Source organism: Homo sapiens, chromosome X (assembly GCF_000001405.40).
Source record: "Homo sapiens chromosome X, GRCh38.p14 Primary Assembly".
Classification (NCBI taxonomy): Eukaryota; Metazoa; Chordata; class Mammalia; order Primates; family Hominidae; genus Homo; species Homo sapiens.
The window spans coordinates 117,982,628-118,006,232 of record NC_000023.11 but is presented as its reverse complement, the minus strand read 5'-3'; the positions used below and the strand labels follow the sequence as shown (position 1 = coordinate 118,006,232).

The window sequence follows — 23,605 nt, the reverse complement described above, 5'->3', positions numbered from 1 at the left end:
AAATTAGTATAGCCTTTACCACCATTTTTGTATGTAAAATACTTTCCCTCTTATCTAAATAGTTCCAGTAGTTTCTTTTCTGTGGGTTGGATAGAAAGTAAGTATTGATCTAATAATCACTGGGTGGTAGGGAGATGGATAAAAATAGAATGGAAACTCAACCCAGTCTGTTCTAAACTTTGCTATGTGTGCAATTCTGATGTATTATATGGCCTTAAACATATATTTAATGACACATCTACATCCAGGCACAGCCCTTGCTGTTAACAACATTGTTAATTCAGTTACACTTCACTCTCCTGCCTCAGTTGTTGTTTTCCCTAGAAAAGACTGCTAAAATCATTACACAATTTCTTTCCAGCTATTTTTAGGCCCATGTCTTAGTTTTCTATTGCTGCTGTAACAAATTACCATAACTCCAGTGCCTTAAAAGAACACTGATTTGTTACCTTACAGTTCTGCCGGTCATTGGCCTAAAATTAAAGGACTGTGTTCCTTTCTGGAGGCTGTAGGGGAAAATCCGTTTCCTTGCCTTTCCCAGCGTCCAGAGGCCACCTATGTGCCTTTGCTTGTGTCTCTCTTCCTCCATCTTCGAAGCCAGCAGTGCTGGGTCAAATCTTTCTCACATCTCCTCACTTGAACCTCTGCTGCTTTCCTCTTCCAATGTTGAGGAGCACAACTGAATAATCCAGGATAATCTCCCCATCTCACAGTCTTTAACTTAATCACACCTGCATCATCTCTTGCTATGTTAGGCAACATATGCATAGGTCCCAGGAATTAAGATGTGGACATCTTTGGGGACCCATTATTCTGCCTACCACACCCTATATCTATGTCAACTATACCATACTGTGAGTTTTCTTTTGGAGGGTATTAAGATAATGGCTGTTTTCAAGTTAAAAAATTATTTTCAAAAATATTTATCACAAATCTTTGTCCCAGTGCCCTCCATGCAAGATAGTTTCCAGCCATTATGAATAATTGTTTAATATTTTATATATACAGTCATCTGTTGTTATCTGTGGGGCATTGGTTCCAGGACCCCCTGAGACTGCAAAAATTCACAGATGCTCAAGTCCCTGATAACATTAATACATTGTAATCAAAGCCCATTCAAATTTTTTCCAGTTATCCCAAAAGTGTTATTGACAGCAGAAAGCTCAACTTCAGAATTATGCATTGCAATTAATTGTAATGTCTTTTTAGTGTTTTTCTATCTGGAACACTTTCTCAGTCTTCTCTTGACTTTCATGACCTTGACACTTTTGAAGATTACAGGCCAGTTAATTTGCAGAATGTCCCTCAGTTTTCATTAGTCTTAATTGTTCCTCATGATATTATTGAGGTTTTGCTTCTTCAGCAGGAATTGCACAGACATGATCTTCTCATTGCATCCTATCAGGTGGCACCTGATATTGATTTGTCCCATACAACTTGATAACTTGATTAAGGTGGTATCTGTCAGGCCTCTCCACTGCAAGGTTACTTTTTCTTTTATTTCTAATTAATAGTATTTCTGATGAGGTTGAGAATACTTTGAGACTATACAAATATCTTATCCCTTATCAGACTTTCAATATTTCATTTATTGCATCAATATGGAATCATAGTTTCCTATTTTATTGTTATAATCCTTGATTTATTTTGATGCCAAATGGTCTCATATTTGTATGATCCCCTTCAAGCTGGTTTATGTATCTTTTTCACAAGTCTCAATCATCCTTCCTTATGTTTGGAGTTTATCTTGTACTTTCTGAGTGCTTCATTACATTCCAGTTCATCTTGTACTTTCTCTGCATTAGCTCTGGAATCAGGCATCATGGTTCCTTTTAGTGGATAATCATATCTCGAACCAAAATCTGTTTGCTAGGAGTGCTCATTGCTATTCCAGTATTGCTGTTCCAAGGCCCTTTTGATGGAGAGAGCTAGGAAATATTTGTATACATGTATATACACACATAAATACATATACACATTTATACATATATGTTTATATCTTTATCCATTGAAACCATGAGTTCTCACCAATACCTTCAATTTTAATCCAATACCATAGAGTTCATTCTAGTTTTCTCCCTTTTCATGATTTCACTTCTCAATTGGTAACATTAAGAAACATGTCTCTTATTATTTGACCAGTTCCTTCACATGTAGCCAATGCCCTGTTGACACACCCTTGCCTCCCCGACTCTGACTTCCAGAAATCCTGGCTGTAGCTGCCACCTCCCTGCATGAATACCCTCATTTTGTTTGCATTTCACCGTACCACATCAGTCCACCATTGATGTAGTCTTCCTGCAATGACACCTTCCTCATCTTCTCAAGCCCCACAAAGAGTCTCTATGGTGCCCTCTTCATAGGGCATGCCTACTTTGCTTGGTCCCACTAATGGATTGAACTGTTCAGGAAGGGGAAGGGAAGGAACATTTTCTGTACTTTGACGAGTTGTTGCCACCTTTTTCCTTACAACCATGGTAAGGATTACTACCCTTGTACTGGATATTTACTTTCTATTGTTGTAGTTCCTATAAATTCTGCTTTCCTGTAGTCAACATCCACATTTTAAAATTATAATTTATGAGATTTTTGCTTGTCAATTTGAGTCCTTTTCTTCAGATTAATATTAATTTGTTTACTGGTTTATTATTATTACTGGTTTGATTTTTGCCTAATAAGGTGTTAAAAATGAGGCAACTGGAAATAAGATGATTTTCACGTAATTATGGTATAATTTATAGAAACACTACTGCTTTCTCATAATACTTTTTGTTATTTTTATGTTCTTCATTTAATTTTTTTTCTTTTCACTAACTAAACAAACAGCAGTGATAAATATAAACTATCAGCAAAGCTGGCTTAGAAGAAAGAGTTTAAAAAAAATGAGACAGGATCTCTATGTTGTCCAGGCTGGTTTTGAACTCCTGACTTCAAGTGCTCCTCCCACCTTGGCCCTCCAAAGTGTTGGGATTACAGGCTTGAGCCACTACGCCTGGCCAGAGTGAAGCCTTTCATTTTTGAATAGAGGTATTTTAAAAACCTATTGCACAGTAACCTATTCCTGGTTATTTAGGGTTAGGAACATGAGTTCAAAAAGTCTGACCTCCTTAGCATGGCATAGAAAGCTCTTCACATTAGGTTCTCAGATTTCCTTTCTAGCCTCAGTTTCTGCTGCTTCTCATTTTGGTACTCTGTGCTATTACTGTACCACATTATTTTCCCTTCGCCAAGTGTGCCACATTCTTTTGTATTTCTGTGGTAGTGTGCGATTACCCAGAAGGTAGATCAAGCACATGCTTGGAACACCAAACAGACATAGGTACCAAACAATGAGGAAGAAAAAGAGTATTTGATGTTTCATGTCATCATCAAGGAAATTAGATCTTTGTTGGACTTCCTTACACTTAATTCATAATTTAGAATTATTTATATTTTGAAATACATGTGAGGGAGCACCATAGCCTTTTCTGTAATTAAGGCCCCTGTACGTTATTTTAGGCCCTTCTCTGTGCCTTTGCTTTTGCTGGATCTTAGCACTGTGAACCCTGCCTCTGAGAGAATTGCATGATATTCCATCCCACAGCATTTTATTTATTTATTTATTTATTTATTTATTTATTTATTTATTTATTTATTTTCGAGACAGAGTTTCACTCTTGTTGCCCAGGCTGGAGTGCAATGGTGCGATCTCAGCTCACCGTAACCTCCCCCTCCCAGGTTCAAGCAATTCTCCTGCTTCAGCCTCCCAAGTAGCTGGAATTACAGGCATGCAGCACCACGCCCGGCTAATTTTGTATTTTTAGTAGAGACTGGGTTTCTCCATGTTGAGGCTGGTCTCGAACTCCTGACCTCAGGTGATCCGCCCACCTCGGCCTCCCAAAGTGCTGGGATTACAGGTGTGAGCCACCGCGCCTGGCCTCCATCCCATAGCATTTTATTGCACATCTATCATAACACTTAGCACTTTGTATAACAATTTTTAAATCATCTCTCCTGACCAAACCATGAAGTCCGTGAGGAAAATGACATCTTCCCATCTAGCCATCTATTTCGTGCATCTAACCCGGTGATTTAGGCAAAGTAGAGACTCATTAAGTGTTGTTAAACTGAATAATTATTGTCTTGTTTATAGATGCAGGTGGTAGCTTTTATAGCAGAGATTGAATTATGTCTCTTTAACTGTTACCGCACTTGATTCATTAGTATCTGTTCGGATAGAATTTGACATGTCCAGGCAGTCCAGTTTGTTAATATAACAAACTGTTCAGAGAATTGGCAGTGTTCAGAAATAAGAAATCTGAAAAATCTGTAAGATTCATATGCAACACGATGATTTACTGGAGGCTTTTTTTTTTTTTTTTTTTGACGGGGTCTTGCTCTCACCCAGGTTGGAGTGCAGTGGCACGATCTTGGCTTGCACAATCACTGCAACCTCTGCCTCCCAGGCTCAAGTGATCCTCCCACTTCAGCCTCCTGAGTAGCTGAGACCACAGGCATGTGCCACCATGCCCAGCTAATTTTTCGTATTTTTGGTAGAGACACGGTTTCATCATGTTGCTGAGGCTGGTCTCGAACTCCAGAGCTCCAGCAATCCACCTGCCTCAGCCTCCCAAAATGCTGGGATTACAGGTGTGAGCCACCATACCTGACCCTACTGGTGGCTTTTTCTTCCATCTTGTCCAGTGTTCTGACAATCAGGATTTAGCCTTGTATACTCATGTTCATTCAATTGCATTAGTTCTTTAAAAATCGTAGAATCTTTTCAGTTAGATTTGGATTAGAGTTGTAGGTACTTTCTGATTTGTTCACTTTAAGCAGTTCAAGGAGAAAACAATGAAAAATTTTGTTGTTGGATGGATATCACATTGGCTCTTTTGCTGCTTAAATATCATCTATCCATGGCCTGCAGGAGCCATAGAATATCTTAACTCGTTGGGGTCCTATTACGATAGTCCTGCCCCAGACTACGAAAAGTTTCCAAAGGTCATCTTTTGAGTTTGAAGCCATCTGAGTAGAAAGTTTTCTAATGGCAGTGGTTCCCAGATGCCAGTTAGTTCATGGAAGCTGGTTTGTTATGGATATTGTCACAGGTCTGCAGTGATGTATGAGAAACAACAGTGTAGTGATTATCTACCAGAAAGCTAACTTTATTGATTACAAAGGACCATCCTTTATTCTGAGATTGTTCTTTACACTTTTTGCTTGTTCAAATGCTCTTTTGTCCTTAATTTAATGAAATTAAATTTACGATGTTAATCAAGGACTGTATCTGTATCTTTATATGAAACCCTTGAGACAAGATATGTTTCAGAACTTACATTCTTTTTGGATTTTAGAAAGGTAGCAGTCTGTATATCCTATATTACATAACAGCCCCAGCAGGGTTTGAGGTGACACCCCATAATCAGTTACAGTAATGTTACTGCAGTGAAATATAAGAATATTTATACTAAGTGAGAGAAAAAGCCTGTGAATAGCCTCATGTCAGTTCAGGTCAAGCTTGACTGCCAGATGAGTTCATATCAGTTCAGATTTTGCTGCCAAATGAGTTACAGGCAAGAAAAAATTGATTTCCAAGTGTTTGAATTTTGAAATTGTGGATAAGGGGTTGCCTTTTAAAATGTCCTTACTTTGTAAAATAAAGTTGAGTATCCTATGTAGGACCCCAAAATGTTTTTGAAATTTCATTGGTCCACAAAATCCAAAACTTGGGAAACAGCTCTTGAAAGCTATTGAAGTGAGTATAACATTACTGTTACACTCATCCCTAGCCAATAATAATTTTCCTCTCTATTTTGTTTGCAAGGAAATACATTGCTGTTGGTTATAATCTTTGGATGTTGTAAAAATCTCCAAATATACTTTTAATCAAAGTAGATTGAAATTAAGTTTATCTTGTAGCAATTTTAGGACGCTGGGGCAGGAGAGAAGGTTGCAGCCTGAATCCATCCACAATTCCCAGTGATGGATTAGGATTCTGTGATAGGGATGGGTTCTAGCTTGACAAGTCCTCCCGGCTGCATTTGTTTGGCCAAATAGATTAGTGAGGAGATTGGTCTGTTTTGGGTAAGGGCAATAGTAAATACCTATGTGCACTTAGGTTAACTGATTAATCTTTGGCATTTGTAGCTTAGGTTTCTATCCATCAGATGGGGTTAACAGTTCCCATCTCACAAGTATGAAATGAGTTAGGAGCTATGGAAGTACTTTGACAATGAAGATCACATTAGCATATAAAATAATAATCTTAAAGAAGAAGTTATGTAGTATGAACTAATAGAATCAAAACAACACAGCTGCACAATTCTTGTCCTAGTAAATTTGTCTAGAAAGTAGACTTGGTAAAACAATTATTTGACCTAACTGGGCTATAATTTGGCTCTTGCTTAAAAACAGTATTTCTCCGTTCTATGTGCCAGTTATTTATTTATTGGCCCTCAGCTTCAGATTCACCATGTGTTGCCTGCTCTGTGAAAATGGACCTGAACCTTTTGTTTTCTATTTATTTATTTATTTATTTATTTTTAATAGATTTTTTAAATTATACTTTAAGTTTTAGGGTACATGTGCACAATGTGCAGGTTTGTTGCATATGTATACATGTGCCATGTTGGTGTGCTGCACCCATTAACTCGTCATTTACATTAGGTATATATCCTAATGCTATCCCTCCCCCATCTCCCCACCCCCCAGCAGGCCCTGGTGTGTGATGTTCCCCTTCCTGTGTCCATGTGTTCTCATTGTTCAATTCCCACCTATGAGTGAGAACATGCGGTATTTGGTTTTATGTCCTTGTGATAGTTTGCTGAGAATGATGGTTTCTAGCTTCATCCATGTCCCTACAAAGGACATGAACTCATCCTTTTTTATGGCTGCATAGTATTCCATGGTGTATATGTACCACATTTTCTTAATCCAGTCTCTCATTGTTGGACATTTGGGTTGGTTCCAAGTCTTTGCTATTGTGAGTAGTGCCGCAATAAGCATACGTGTGCATGCGTCTTTATAGCAGCATGATTTATAATCCTTTGGGTATATACCCAATAATGGGATGGCTGGGTCAAATGGTATTTCTAGTTCTAGATCCCTGAGGAACCTTTTGTTTTTATCTTTTTTTTGTTTTGAACCTTTTGAATGGTTGCTTCCATTACCACCTGACACTGAAGTTTTGTCAGTAGAGGGTGCTGGAAAGGCACATCAGGAAGGAAGTACTTTGACAATGGTGACCACTTTAACATATCAAATCATAATTTTGAGGAATAATTATATGGTACAAACTTGTATAGTATTTATATGTTCATATAGTTGTTTATATAAAATTTATATATTTATATAGTTGTTATATATAATATGTATAATTTACATAGCATTTATATGGTTTTGCTTCATGGTTCCCTGTGTGCTTGCTCAGCAGGCTGTTTTTTGAGCATCTTCACCAGTGCTCAGCTTCTTTACCCAGTGGTCAGTAGCTTCTCATGGTGCCCCCAGAGACAGTTTTATAGCAGAGTATTTCTGGTAGGACACTTTCCAGAAGGTGTATTTTGAGCATGTCACAAAGGGTGGGTTTCTGACAGATTCCAGCTAATGAGCACCACAGCAGCTTCTCTACCCTTCATTGTGCTGTGGCTGTGCCCTCTCCAATAATGTCTGGATCTCAGCCTTGAGCAGAAGTCACTTTCTTTGGTGCTCTTTCTCAGCCCTAGGGGTAGTTGCTCCTGATATCTGTGATTCTTTGATTCTTGTGTTTTTTTTTAGAATCTCTTTACTTATTACTAGCCAATTTCTCATTACTCCAATTTCCTGTTATTCCAACCCTCTGTCATAGTTAATAATTTCTTATGTACAACTCTCCCTGTTCAAATTACTATGCGGTTTCTCTCTCCTGAGTAGACCCAGACAGTTGCAACCAATTAAAGATCTCTCTGAGCCACCATGTATCACTGGCAAGCCAATTCTTCAGAGATGATATCGTTGTATCTGTAGTTGAAAAAATTCAAATATCTTTTAGGGAAATGTCTCAAAATCCAATGAAGTTTAGCTGTTCTTCCCATGGGGTTTCTGTGTACCTATGTATTTGTCTCTCTTTCTCTATCTTCATGTCCCACCACCTTAACTGTGAGTTCTCACTCTTCTCTCCTTCTCCATCTATTTGCCTTCATACACTTAGTTTCCAACCCCAGCATTGCTTTTGGCTTCCCTGCGTCTCAATTTCTGTCTTGGTGAGGCAGCGATATAAAAGATCATAAATTAATGAAATCAAGGACATGAAAGTGCTTTGTAATTAGTAGAGTACCATACAAAGTGGTGATATTACTTGTGTTTATTAAATAGTTTTCTCTTCTATGTTTTCAAATGTTCAATTATGTTTTATTTTAAGAGCTTTGTGGGTGCCTTCAGGGGTACTTACAAACTAGTAAAATAGATACATCAATACATAGAATTATTAGACAAGACTGAATGTGCTGGGTGCTAAAATAGGGGAACAAATGAGGAAACAGGAGCCCTGAAAATTAGAATTTAATTGTGGTCTGAGGATTCATGGATTATTTCCAAGGAGAATCATCTGACCTTGAAGGACCTTACCTGCAATTTATTAAATGTTTGTGGCACAAATGAGCCTTGCAATACGTACTTTACATATATTCTCATATTGAATCTTTACATTCATCCTTATATTCTTAAATTATTTTATGTCTTAGACTGATTTCAAAATATTTTGCTTGAAGACAGATTTTTGTTCATTTGTTTTATTTTTAATTGAAACTTACCTCCAGTTATGTGTGAAAACTCAGTGGCAGTAAAATCTACAAGATAGAACATTATGTTGCTTTTCAGGTATTTTCTATTTTCATATTCATTCATGGATACCTACATTTTAAAAGATGGTTGAACACTTTTCACCTGAGAACTAGAGTAAATATATGATAATCTCTATATTTAAAAAGGGAAACGTTTTGTTTAAAAATTGATGACTCAGTCTCTTTTTTTTTTTCCATAAGAGAGTGTGTCAGTAGGCTTCTAGGAGATGGCATACTTTATGAAAAAATGTAGCATACTATTTAAATTAGAGGTGGTTACGCTTTGAATGCAAAGTATCCTGTCAAATCACAGGATGAGTGCATCTCCCAGTGGAAGATGTTGCAAAGTGCAAGTGAGTATGAGTCTTCCCGAAAGCATTTGTCTTTATAGCTTGGATTCTATGAGATGCCCACCAAAGACACTTAATTTTTTATCTTAGAAAGTCAAGATGGATGAGTCTTCAGATTTATTAGGAACCCTTCTTTAGTTTTGAATATTTTGTGATGAATCCATACTTTATCTTTTTGCAGATGAGATGGAAATGTCCTGTTTCTTTGGCAAATAATATGTGAGCATAGCACATGTAGCTTTTTTTTTTTTTTTAAATAGGCTATGATTTGATCAGTGTTTTCTGAAGTATTATGTGCGTGCTACTGGTGGTATATGTACCCGTAGAAATAGACAGACTAACACAATTTGAATATATTTGTTACTTATTTTAACGCTGATTAGGAAAAAAAGCCTGGTATATCACACTTGTCATTTCTTAGATACTACTGAAGTTAAGACTATGCAGGTAAAAACACCTCACCCAGACCAAGTGAATTACTGGTGCAGTGTTCAGGCATGCCCAAGAATGTATTGCTGCATTCTTTTCATAGATACAGCAACACTCTACCAGAAAATAGTAGTATTTAAATATACAAAGTATTTATAACATACATAATTGCAAATTGGAATCGGTTCTATGCTCTTTTTTTGTTTTGTTGTTGAGGTCAGTATGGATCAATGGATAAAAATTGAATTTTTAAAATGTAAAGGTGCAGACTGTGAGGGAAATCTTATTAGGGGATGATTTTGATGAAGTTAGTCATGTAGCTTTAGACAAACTTGAAGACCAAATTTAGCAAACTGTCTGAATCATCTGCTACTGTTACAGAAGGACCAACTGCAAAGAAAACAACTATCACACAAATTTGATGAAAGTATTTGAAATTTGTATTTTCATAAGTATGATGAGAATGAACCTCTTTCCTTGTATGTCAGATGTGTAGAGACACACATTCTGGTGTGAAACCTTTCAATCCTGTGCTTTTTTGAAACACAAAGTGTGCTATACAAAGTCCACCTGAGAGGTTCCTTAAAAAGTTGAACATAGAGTTATCATATGTTCACCCAGAAATTCAGAAACTCCTAGGTGCATATCCCCCCAAATTAAAAACTAGTACTCAAACAAATGTACACCCATGTGCAGGGAGGGACTATTCACAATACCCAAAGGTGGAAAGAGCTCAAATGCCCATTAACTGATGGATGGGTAAATAAATTGTGGTATGTACATATAATGGAATACTCAGCCATATAGTATATTAGAAGTATCAGTACTTCTAATATACTAGTAAATGGTGGATGAGCCTCCAAAATATTATGTTAGTGAAAGGAGCCAAGCACAAATGATTAGATACTATATGATTCAATTTATGTGAAATACTAAAATAGATAAATCCATAGTGACAGAATGCAGATGCAAGGGGCTAGGGGCAGGGAGGAGAGAATGGGGAGCAACTGCTTAATGGGTATGGGTTTTATTTTGGAGTTGATTAAAATGTTTCACAACAAGATAGAAGGGGGTGGTTGCGCAACATTCTGAATGCACTGAATGCCACTGAATTGTTTACTTGATAGGTGCAGCAAACCACCATGGCACATGTATACTTATGTAACAAACCTGCACATTCTGCACATGTATCCTGGAACTTAAAGTAAAATAAAAAATTAAAAAAAAATCACTACTTTTATCTTATGTGGATTTCACCTCAGTATGGAAAAAATAAGACTTACCCAGTAGTGTGGTATGTGTGACATTTTATGGGGAATAGGATGATGTTAGGTTGTGCATAAGCATTTCTTATTACAGGAGTTAAGTATGTATTTTTACAATTGTCTTCTTTTTATGAGAAATTATTAGTTTCCTATTTGCAGTAATAAGTTTTCCTTTAAAGATAAATGTAAGTTTTAAAGAAAAAATAAGATGGTACTGATATGACACATGAAGGCAGTTCACAAATGAATGAAAAATGGCAGCTTCAAAGAGACATTTTGTTTTATGTTCAAGCCAACTAACTTTAATTTTTATTATGTTATTATTATAATTATTATTGTTTTAGAGACAGAGTCTCGCTCTATTGCCCAGGCTGGAGTGCAGTGGCACCATCATAGCTCATTGCAGCCTTGAACTCTATGACTCAAGTGATCCTCCCACCTCAGCGTCCCTCACAGGCATGTACCACTACTCCTTGCTATTTTTATTTTTTATTTTTTATACAGATGAAGTCTCACTATGTTGTCCAGGCTAGTCTTGAACTCTTCCCACTTCAGCTTCCCAAAGTGTTGGGATTACAGGCGTGAGCCACTGTGCCTGGCCAATTTTTAGTGAGAACATATTAGACACTAGTTGCTGTTTATGAAAGTTGAACGAGATGTGACTTTTGCCTTAGGAAAAACTTCCAACCTAAAGGTGATAAGCCAAATCTATAAATAATTCAAGGAAGAAGCTGAATGTGCCCAGTGAGACTGGAACAGAGGACAAACAGACTGAGGCCAAGACCAGGTACCTGTTTGGTTTGATTACCAGTACCATTTCAGAAAATGCTAGAATAGGCTTCTGGGTGTAGTGGCTCATGCCTGTAATCCCAGCACTTTGGGAAACCGAGGATGGAGGATTGCTTGAGACCTGGAGTTCAAGACCAGCCTGGGCAACATAGCGAGACCCCATCTCTAAAAAAATAAAAAAATTAGTGGGCATTGTGGCAAGCACCTGTAGTCTCAGCTACTCAGAAGACTAAGGTGGGAGGATCACTTGAGCCCAGGAGTTCGAGGCTGCAGTCACCTATAATCACACTACTGCACTCCAGCCTGGGTGACAGAACAAGACCCTGTCACTAAAAATGGGAAGGAAGGAAGGGAAGAAGGAAAGAAGGAAGAGGGGGAGGGAGGAAGATGCTAGGATATATAGGAAGAAATTAAACTAAACTCTATGTACAAGTGCAAACAAAACCCCAACTTAATATTGGCATTCGTGGTTGATGGAAAGATGGGAGTTGGTGGGAAACCATTTTAGAGCAAAATTTGCTTTTGAAATTAGAAACAGGGAGAAAAATTACTTAATAAATGCAGCAGGCCGGGCGTGGTGGCTCACGCCTGTAATCCCAGCACTTTGGGAGGCCGAGGTGGGTGGATCATCTGAGGTCGGGAGTTCGAGACCAGCCTGACCAACATGGAGAAACCCCGTCTCTACTACAAATACAAAATTAGCCGGGCGTGGTGGCACATGCCTGTAATCCCAGCTACTCAGGAGGCTGAGGCAGGAGAATTGCTTGAACCCAGGAGGCAGAGGTTGCAGTGAGCCGAGATCATGCCATTGTACTCCAGCCTGGGCAACAAGAGCGAAACTCCAACTAAAAAAAAAAAAAAAAAGCAACAGATAATGTAATCAAGTTTCATATACTGTGGTCCTTTTTGCCTCTACCTTTTTCTCTCTCAGTAACTTGGAAGTCCTCTGGGCTTCCTCTCTCCCTAAAAATCTCACATTTAAAGGTAGCATAGTAGAGGGCTTGAGAATATATGCTCTGGAGCTAGACTGCTTGGGTTCAAATTCCAGTTCCAATATTTACAGATCGTGTAACCTTAGTCATGTCACTTGATTTTTCTATGTATTTGTTTTATCTTCTGTAAAATGGGGATGTTAATAGTAACTGCATTATAAGGCTTTGGTAAGGATTAAATAAGTTAAATGATTAAATGTGGTAAGCATTTATAACACTGCTTGGCACATGGTAAGTGATCAAACAAATGTTAGCCATTATCATCATCTCCAGTCAGTAAATCCTGTCAATTTTGTCTCCTAAAAGTCTTTTTGAATGTCACCCACTACCACTGCCTTAGTTTAAGATCTTATGTTGTCACAATTGCAATTGTGCCTTAACTAGTCTTGCACCCGCACCCTCTCTCCTAACCATCCCCTCTGTCTCACTTGACTGCCTGACATACTCTTGCTTATTCTGAAATACTCAGCTCAGATGTCACCTCTGTGAAACTTTCCCTGATCCTCTGTGCTAGTCCACTTAGGGCTCTCCATGTGCACTTATATCCTTTGGAACATATCTCATTTATAGCATAGCTTATATAGTACTGTGACTGTAACTGATGTTCCGTGGGTTGTGTCCACCTTGAAGGTGAGAAACTGGGTTTACTTAGTTTTGAACTTCCACCCTAAACACAGCCCCTGGTACAAAGTAGATGCTTATTAAATGCTTGGGTGGATTATTGAATGGGCTCTGCCTGTAGAAAGCTAGTTTACAGTCTTCATTTGGGAAGCTAAGTTGAACACACCTAAGAATAAATAACTATGAACATTGTATAGTAACTGCTGAAAGAGTTTAGAAAGAAAAGGGGAGTGCTGGGGGTAATCAAATTATACTTCAAAAAGGTAGAGCTTGATTTAGAACTTAAGAATGGGCAGAACTTGTGTGAACAGAGAGGCAGCCACAATCTACTATGCAAAAGGGATGTTTTATGAGTTGAATGGGTGGTGACAGAAAAAAAGGAAAAAAAAAAAGCCCAGCCTTAGCAAAACAGAGAAGAGACCAGTCTAATTAGGGTGTGTGTATGTGTGTTGATGGGGGGAAGGTATATGTTGAAAACTACAAGTAGATCATAACCTATAAACAGGGTGTGTTCTAAAGATTTATTTACAAACCATTTGTTTGGACATGACACATAATATACATGGTTTCTAGCCAGCTCAAAATATTGTATTTAACCTACTTAGTAGTGAACTATCCCAGGGACAGTGCTCCAGAGCCTGGGAGCAGAGAGTCAGGAAAGGTGCGATGGATTCTGGGCTAGAAGACAGAGTGATAGAGAAATTGAGATTTGTTGTTCTCCTATGACCCTTTCTGCACCTTTTTTTTTTTTTTTACATCTCAGTTTCTCTAAGAGAAAGTTTCTCTATCCCTCAAGGCACCCCATGCTGCTAACTTCCTTGAAACAGAACCCCATCCAAAGTTGCTAGGGCTCTAAAAGGCTCTCTCTCACCTCCAGCCTGCCTCATTCCCTCAGGGCAACAGCTCTTTGCTATTTGAAGAAACTTGACTCAACTCATTCATGCCAATGTGTGAATAACTGATAGCCACCTCATCCTGGCAGCTGTACTTACTTTAATTTTAACAGCCTTCTTGTTAGCTCAAATGAACCTGTAATTGCTGGAATTTCTGGCACTGGTACAGAGCAAACAATGTGGGAGGGGGGTGAGGGTTACAGAGAGAGAGAGAGAGAGAGAGAGAGAGAGAGAGAGAGAGAGAGAGAGTTTCACTGTAGGAGAAGATATTTTGAGATAAGGAAAGCTTTGGCCAAGAGCTTTGCCTAATTTTCCTTTCTTCTCCACCTCCCTCCCCCAAATTGTTCTTGTGTATTCCTCTTCACAGGTTTACTATAGGCTGCAAGTTGTTTATTATTATTACTTTTTAAGAATAACTTCTGTAGCAGTTCTGGGTATGGTGGTACTGTGTTTTTTAGTTGTGTGCAAATCTGGGATTACCTGTAATGGGAAATAGGGTTGAATAGATAAGGTGGGGCTGGGGGTTGAGGGGACCTTGAAAGTGGAGTCTACAAATACATCCATAGAAATAAGGAGTCATGGAAAGTTTTTGAATAAAAGCTTAAGATGATGAAACCAATAAAGGTGGCAAAATGAATTCTAAATTTTGAATTAGAAATGATGGAGTATTATGTTTACTCTTGGCTTGGGATTGGTTTATACAGAATCATATTTCTGGTTACCATTTTTCATGGTTCTGGGCATTCACCTTTAATTGTTAGTATCTCTCTCCTTGGCTGTCTGTTCTCTGTGGCTCCTGAGCCAATCTTCCTTCAGGATTAATATGCTCCTAGAAGCTTTTATGACTTTTGTATTACCAACTAGCACATAAGGGCTTATACATTCTGTTTCTGTGTCCCAAAATTCAAGTCTAATGTTAGCAAAACACAACTCTCATTTATAAGACTTTTTTTTTTTTACTTTTTAATGAAAATTTCCAGCCTTTCCAAACATACCCCAAAAACACACTGGAGATAGTGGTTAATGATCTGCATCAGTTAGCCCTCAGAGCTGCAGGAACCTCCACACCCACTCCCTAACCTATGCATGTTAAACCATGTTGTAGATAAGCTCTTCCCTTTGGGGAACCCCATTGTCTTTTATTCTTTATATTGTTCATTATGTAAATATTCTTGATATTTCTCCTCCACCAGTCTGCACAAAGGAGAAGCCAGAAAATGGGGTGAGAAAGGGATTTGAGACATTTCCTTAAGCCTAAATTATAATTCTCTCATTGGAACAGGATTCATAGATCTTTAATCAAATATGTTTATTTTTCTCTGTTTTGAACGTTAAAAGGGCTTGTTCGCATTGGGCCCTCTTGTGTGTCATTTGTATATTTTGCTCTTGACTGCTCAGCATACCATTTACATTACCAGGTATTGGTGATGTGCAGTGACTTGCTTGGTTGAATTTGCTATTTCATTTTTTTGCTCCATGTAGTGGAGCAGTGATTGTTAAAATTGGATTTTGTGGTTTACTCTTTCGTCATGACTTGTAGCAACAGTAATTTAATAGGATTTAACAGTCCAAAGAATATACTTTTTGTCCTTTTCATTTACCAGTCCACAAAATGACTGCTTTTAGGAGATATTGTTTCATTTTTCAATATTCCCTGGCCTAGGTGGTAACAAACTAATAAAATGCATTCATTTGCTTTACCAATCCTATCTTGACTTAGAAAGTTGATTACTGACATTTCCCTTCCTTATGGTAGTTAAGTGTTTTCCTTACTCAGTTCAGTTCAGCAGTCACCTATTGATCCATTCACACCCCCATCCTCATTCTTCTATCATAAAGTTATTATATACCTACTATGCTGGGCCCCCTGCCAGGCACACATAGGGTCTGTCATGCAAACATCAAAAGGAGCCATTTAGGTATGCTATGTGCAATTGTAACATTTTATTTTTTCTTATGATTCAAATCTTAGTTTTGGGAGGAAAAGGCCCTTTAATGATTTCTTATTTAATTATCATCAGAAAAGTGTAGTTAGGCATGGAGGAGGGAAGAACCTACCTCTGCTGGCTTGATTTCACCAAAATCGCCTCCTATAATTGGGTTACTATGTGACAGGCACTGAGTTAGGTATAATACAAACATAAGGAAGGCCCAACCTCAGTTCTCAGGAATTTATAGTCTAGGGAGACATAGAAGCAGTTTTAACCCAAAGAGAGAGGAGCTATAATATTCAAAGTATCACAGGAGGATAGCAAACCCATTACCTGTATCTTCTAAGGGATGTGAGGGAAAGTTTCACTGAGGGAGGTTTGCTTGAACACTTAAGCATGACTAGAAGTTTGCTTGGTAGAGTAGAAGGGCAGGGAATTCCAAGTGGAATCAGATGTGAAGTCACTGAGGCATGAAGGAGTATGACATATTTGAAATGTATGCCAAGAAATTGCTAATTACTAGATGAAAGAGAACTCTGTGGAATTGGCATTGGGAAGATATTTCTGGTACAGGTATAGGTTGATCATTTATGTAACTTTTGTCATATAGCTATTCTGTAGCTTCCATTAACTATTCCTTACTTCTCCTCTCCTCCAGCCATTTATGTGAAGACTTTTTTTTTTTTTGGAGGGGAGGTGTTTAGGAGTCATATTTGTAGTTTTTCCTTAAAATGAATATTAATATAAATATTAATACAATACAGAGGTGACTAATAAACACCAAATTAGGTATCAGGAGACCTGGCTTATTGTTTTCCACTTCTCTCAGCGGCTATGTCACTTGAGCCAAGGCATTTAACAGCTCTGTTTCTTCATGAGTAAAATGGGAATATTAATGCCTGCATTGCCTACCTCAGGATCAGGTTGAAAATGAAAATGAAACTGTTAAAAATAAAGAGGTATAATAAACTCTTTTACTTGGAATTCTGCTGGCTGAGGTTAAACTGACATTTAAAGCAAGTAAAATACTTTGTGGAGTATCTGGATAGAAAAATTAGGTTGGAAAATAATTCTTACTTCCTCATTAACCCTCTATGTCTGCCCTTTAGTCTTTGAAATGTCATTTAGCTTATTTCTATGTTTCCAAACTAACATGATAAAAATTTTAAACTTCCTAATGTTCTGGCATGTATATCTTGGCCCTTTCAAATTCTCAGTGTAACTATTAAATAGCAATTGATTTAAGAGTTAGGTGAGTAAAATATAAGTTGGTATATTTCGTAGTCAATCTTGAATAATTCATACCTATTAAGTAGTTTGAATTACTAATGAGATACTGTCTATCATTTCTTGTTCCATATGGTGGTAGGACACAAGTTTTGTTCCATTTTAGAAATGTATAAGAGGGTCCTGATTCATTCAATTAGGATTGGGAGGTTATGAGACTTTGGCCTTCTGCCTTCTTTGCCATTTTTCCTAATTCAGTGACAATGCAGGCAGCAGTTATTAGTAGCAGCAAATGACATTTCCATTCATTTTATTTCCTTTGACCCCCATCTTCCCCATTAGATTGAGTGGTAATCTACTGAAATCTGATAAATCACTTGAAACATGAACTTCTAGACTATAGGAGCATGAGCAATTGCTTCCAATATAAATACTCCTGGCTAACCCTTCTTTAGATCAGTGGTTCTCAAAATCTATCACTATGGATATTTCAGCAGGACAGAAAATTCTGTAAACCACTTAAGTCATCCTGCTCTGAACCATCTTACATACATCAGAAGAAAGGGAAAGAGTACTGCTATGGATGAGATAACACAATGGTATTTTACATGGAATGTAACTGAATTATTTATACTAGACTAGTATTGATCCTGTCATCATAATCACTATTATATGACACTTGTGGAATTCCAAGAGGTAGTTACCCCTCCTCCCTTTCTGCCTTTGCAACTTAGAGATGAACTAGTTATGTGAATTTGGATAAAACACCTATTCTAATCAAAATATAATATAAAATGGTTGTTGAGATTTTTCTACCAGGCCCTAAGGAAATAATCTGTCAATTTGTCTGTTTTTCACAAAACTAAATGAGGAAATGGTCTGGCTTATTTTCTCTTTGTTTTAAAATCTATGGTGCCATTGATACCCAGTTTAAAAACATTCTTCTGAAGGTGCTGTTGATTAAATCATTTTAATGTCCCCCAAGTACTGCCTGTTTTTGAAGATTATTTGGAAAATGTGGCACATTCACCAACTCACATTCTCCTCTTATTCTGTACTTGCTTTTTTTCCTTATAAGTTAGTGGAAAGGCAACTGGTCAGTTTTTTCACTCAATAAAAAAGAAGGAAGGTGTAGACAGCTTTTATCTGGGAATGCTTTAAGTCATTGAGAGAATATTTTTAAGTGTTAACTACTTTTTGAAATTATTGGCAGAATCTTTTAATCCATTTTAACATAAAACAGTTGACTAAGATGGAAAGATTTTTATTGTTTACATAAAAGAAATCACCATGGTTTTTGCATCATTGCATAAATCTAAGAGATTGTGCATACATAAAAAGGATGAGACAAAGCTGAATGTTAAGTGCCAAAATCAACGAAAGCTTGCGTACTTACTGGGTATTTGACACTGAGCATAATGGAATGTGGTTCCACAGAGAGAGAATACTAAATATTTAGACCCAAGGACATGTTTCTCTGATAGCTTCTTATCCTAATCTCCTAGCTAACATTATTAACCCTTTTTGAAACACCTCTTTCTTACACTTAGATTTCCTCCTATTAAAGCTCACCCTTGGAGATTCTAAACCTTCTATACCCAAGCACCTACACTCACCCACTCATCTCTTTCTGAGATCTTCATGAATTCCTTTTGTTTATTATATGGATCTTTGGGTGAATTATCTTGGTTTACTATGAGTAGTAAAGCACAATCACAATTTCTCTCCACTTACAGCTCTATTTTTCCAAAGGTCACAGCTCCATCATTCAGCTCTTCTGTCGGTATCCCTTTCTCATCGATTCCCTGGAATTTTTGAACCAGGGCTGTGAGGTATACAGCCAGCAATGTTGCATAGTACTTTAGAGTTGCTGCCCAACACAGGTCCATCTCTCTTCACAATTCATGTTTGTTCCTTTTCAGGCTCAGAGTGGTGAAGGAAGTTACTAAGATTAGCGTGCACTATGAAGTCTGGGAGGTGGGCTTTCAGGGACCTGCTTACTTACTCTGAGGCTCTGACCTTTGCCTTAGTGTGATTTTCTCACCATCCTCTTTTATTTTGTGGGCAAAGGATCAAAAAGATTTCTTCAACATTGAGTGCTAAACATTAGCAAGAATGCGTGGTTTCTGGTCCCTGTAATGAAAGAATATTTTTAAAACCATAGACTCAAATTACCATGTAAGATATCACAGAAGCAAATGGAATTTGAGCTGGATCTGGAAGAATGGGTTGAGTTCAGGAAAGTGGAGTTTGGAAGAGATTTCATGCAAGAGGGACCTCTGGAGCAAAGGCGAGAAAGAACAAAGAAAGCTTTTGACATAGAGAACTGGAAGTTGGTGTTATGATTTACTACAGTAAACTGGAAGAGTAGGTTGGCCGGTATGTACTGAGTTCTTAGTGCTAGGCTTAGTTACTTGATTAATTATTTGATTGATCTACTCATTCAACAGATTGTTTCTCATAGCCCACAGGATAAAATCCAAACCTGTTTTCTGGCGTGCATGGTCTTCTGTGATGTGGTTTCTGCATACCTTAAAATCTACTCCACTCAACACTATGTACCCACTTTTCAGTAATATTGAACTCTTTTCAGTCATATCGAAGAATTTGCTGATCCCTGCAACATGTTGTATTCCTTCACATGTTTCTTTCTTTGCACAGGCTATTTCTTCTAGAGTTCACTTGATGTATGCTTCATTCTTCAGCCTCAGTTGCAACGGAATTTTTGTTATTCCTCTGCTGCTGTAGAATGCTAGGCTTATATTACTAAAGCTTCTACACCATATTTTGTATTGTCAGAATACATGCCTGCTTCCCTCACTCAGCTTATGAGCTTCCTGAGGGCCAGGGATTGTGTCTGGTTCACCTTTACATCCACACCACCCAACATAGTACCTAACATGTAGCCAATTCAATAAATACATACTTACTGTAAAATTATTCATTGATCATTTACTTTACATCATGTGTAGTTTTATTTTTAAAAAGCGATCTAGATGGAATGGGATTGACAAATTGAAGACGGGCAATGCAGGGAGATGAGTTATATGTATTTTTGAAGTAGCTCATTTGTTTAAAAAAAACAGTAGGGGCTAGATTCCTGGGAGATTGATAAAGAAAAAAAGATAGGACTTAATGACTGGCAACTATGGGCAAGAGAGAGGGAAGAATTAAAGATAATAAAAAATAAAGATAATACAACAAATAGCAGGATAGTGACCCTTAAAAAAATAAGGTTACTTTCAGGTAAGCATGTTTTTTTTTCTAAGTTGGATTTCCTGGTGTTAGTATTTGTCTCACTCCACCTTTGCTCCAAAGATGAACACTTTGTTCCTGTTCAGTTTACCAGAACTAAGTTCAAGATATATGTGCTTCTCATTTTCATATCTGGCCAGCAGTTTAGATATGAAATATAAATAGTTCAACTACACTGACTACAATTTCCTATCAAGGGAAGGTATGCAGTACATAGGTTTTTTTTTTTTTTTTTAAATATATAAAGCCTGTTTCTGCTTTTGGGAGCTACAACTGAAGTGTTGTACCAGGCAGATGCACTGGGGTGCGCTACTATGTAGCAGAGCCTAGCTGTGCATCACAGCTCTTAACTTTAAAACTCCAGAGAATTTGATGAGAGAGGGATCCACAAGAACATGACAAATGATGAGAGTTCAAACCTTAAGAGAAAAATGGGCTTATTGGTAAGAGACCTTTCTTTTCCTTTATTTACTGCTGTTACTTACTCATTAAAATAGCAAGCCTGTTATTTCCATATGTGGCTGTGAAGCGATATACAAAAATCAATTTTAGATGTATTGTAGAATTCAGGAGACATATTGGTAACCATGCAAAAATCATAGGAAGCATGTACAAAGCTTGATTTTGAATAAGATTTCTAAGGGAATTTTATTTTACTTCAGACTGTGTTATAGATTTATTTATATAGCTTAAATGTAATGCAGGTAAGAAATATCTATATATACATATATTTAAAAAGTTAAAATAAAGAATAGTGACTTATGTAGAAATACATAATTTCACTCAGTTGCCAGAAGGTGGCATACCAGATTTTTTTAAATGCACAAAGAAAAGGAATAATATTAATAGGGATATAAAATAAGCTGTATTTAAAGACATTTTGATGCATTTTAAAGCAAAGAAATAATATAATTGTTATTTTTTGGTAGGGCTTAATTGTAAAACATGACAGATATGAATTTGACCTATTATAGCTTTTTATCATTCAACAATAATGTTTATGTGTATAGCATTTTAAAAGTATACTTTCAAATAGTACTGTCATTAAGGAGATGCTGTTTTGAATTTATCATTCCAAAAAAGAAAAAATATTTTCCACCTACTTTTTTCATAGGAAGTTATTAGATTTAGTATCACATTTTGGATAAGGTCTTTGTCAAGGTCTTTCTAAAGATATTATTAAACTATGACTTTGATATAGTTATGGATTTAATAATGCAGTAGTGCTTGTGAGATGACCCAGAAAAAACCAAGACAGTTTATTTTGAAAAAAAGTGAGATAAGGCTAATGCTTACTTTCTATATGCTGATAACAACATAAATGAAATAAATGGAAATAAATGAAATTTTATATTAGAGCTCATCAAACATTTGCCAGCATACTTTAATTTTTTAAGAGAGTTGACTGTCAACAGCCTATACTGTAGTGCTTCTGTAGTGGTCTCTATTTTTAAAACTGGATTCCTGAGGCAGTACCAGAAGTATGTCTATCCAATGTTGCTTTTTGTATTAGCCCAAAAGAGCTAGATGTATGACAGAACTTAACAAAAACCAAATCTTCTGGTTAGGAGACAGTATATCTATTTATGTGTTTTTATTAATTACAAGCAGTATGAAAATAAAAAGAATTGGTAGTAAATGAACCTAGAAGAACATTAGCCATCTGTTCTCTGAAAGCTTGTAATATGTGTCATTTGCTTTCAGGTTTTTATGGCAAAGAAGTATATCAGCAAAGAATTGACCTTTAGGCTTAAAAAGCTACAAAATGGCAAATTATTCCAAGGGGCGAGTATATATTTACTGGAAAAGTGTCTCCTTGTGTCCAAATTTGGCTAGTTTAGTCTTTTAGATCAACTGCCAATCATTGTTATGCTTAATGCCCATCTTTATTCCAGACTTTCTGAGACATTAAGAAAGCTTCTAAAAACAAATAGGATCTTATGGCTTTCTAGTTAAGGGTTTTTAAAAGTTAATTTACATAGTTTAAAATTGTTATGTGTGGTTTTAACTGTTCAGGATTTATAAATATGGTTTATTAATTTACAGCTAAAATGCTGTCAGGGTATGCTTTGAAAAATTTGAACTAAATATAATAAAACTACAATTAACCAGGTTTCTTTTTGCACTCCACTTTCAGGAGACGGAGGCAATTGTCATTAAAACAAGCCGATTTCAAGGATATATTCAAAAAATCAACTTCAGGGTATGTCCAGGGGTCTACATTTTTCCTCACCTTTTTTTTTTTTTCAGTGCGAATTGGTTTTCATGAAAGACCCTGAGAATACTAGAAGACAGTTATCAAGTATAGTTACAGTAATGGCTAGGGCACTGTGTTTATTAGGAAAAAAGTATGTAAATCATGCTGTTAAAAATGCCACGCATCATTGTATTGTGCCTTATATTTTCCAACATGCTTTCACAAACATAAATTACTTTGGTTTTCACGACAACACTGTGAGACGGGCAAGGAAAGCAGCATTTTCCCTATTTTACAGATGGGGGAAGATAACACTGGAGGTCAGAAAGCTAACCAGGGACACAGCTGCAGTTGGACCACAGATGCCTAGCTCTGTCTCTTCTGCCTTCTTCCTCATGGAAAAAGTTTGAAACAAGTTTTTAACTTTTTAATCTGTATTACACAATCAAGATAATTTGTTTTCTAATTGTTGTACCTCACAGTTTCCCACTTCGCATCTGTCTGTCTGCCTCTGTGCCTGTCTGCCAGCTGGAGACCTTACTTTCAGACTCTCCCAGACCTAGAAGGATCTGGAGTGTGGGAGGGCAAGATAATGGATGTACAGTTTGCTATGACAACTGGTGTTGAGCAGCCAGTGTTCATATGCTAAGGCAGGCCAGGGACTGAGAAAGAAGACAATCTTACTATAGCTAAGAGATATTCAGCAGGAATTAGCAACCTTGACTTTAAAGCAGTGTTTCTCTAATAGTTTAGTAGACCTGGTGTGATAATCAGCTGTAGTACTTGTTGAGAATGCAGAGTACTGGGCCCCACCTTCAGATATCTACATTTTAAATAATCACCTCATGTGATTCTTAT

The 23,605-nt window shown here is 37.1% G+C and overlaps 1 protein-coding gene across 5 annotated transcripts in view; it reads left to right on the top strand.

The window, feature by feature from the left end:
* Positions 1-23,605, top strand: part of KLHL13 (kelch like family member 13) — a 219,528-nt gene that overhangs the window by 111,108 nt on the left and 84,815 nt on the right. Inside the window, exons 1-2 of one of the 5 annotated variants that reach the window (NM_001168299.2) lie at positions 20,904-20,993; positions 22,688-22,753. The exons of the other annotated variants lie outside the window; for them this stretch is intronic. Coding sequence (NP_001161771.1) covers positions 20,953-20,993; positions 22,688-22,753 — 107 coding nt within the window. The 5' untranslated portion in view covers positions 20,904-20,952. Of the gene's footprint in view, positions 1-20,903; positions 20,994-22,687; positions 22,754-23,605 lie in introns of those variants that run through there. 5 annotated transcript variants of the gene reach the window in all.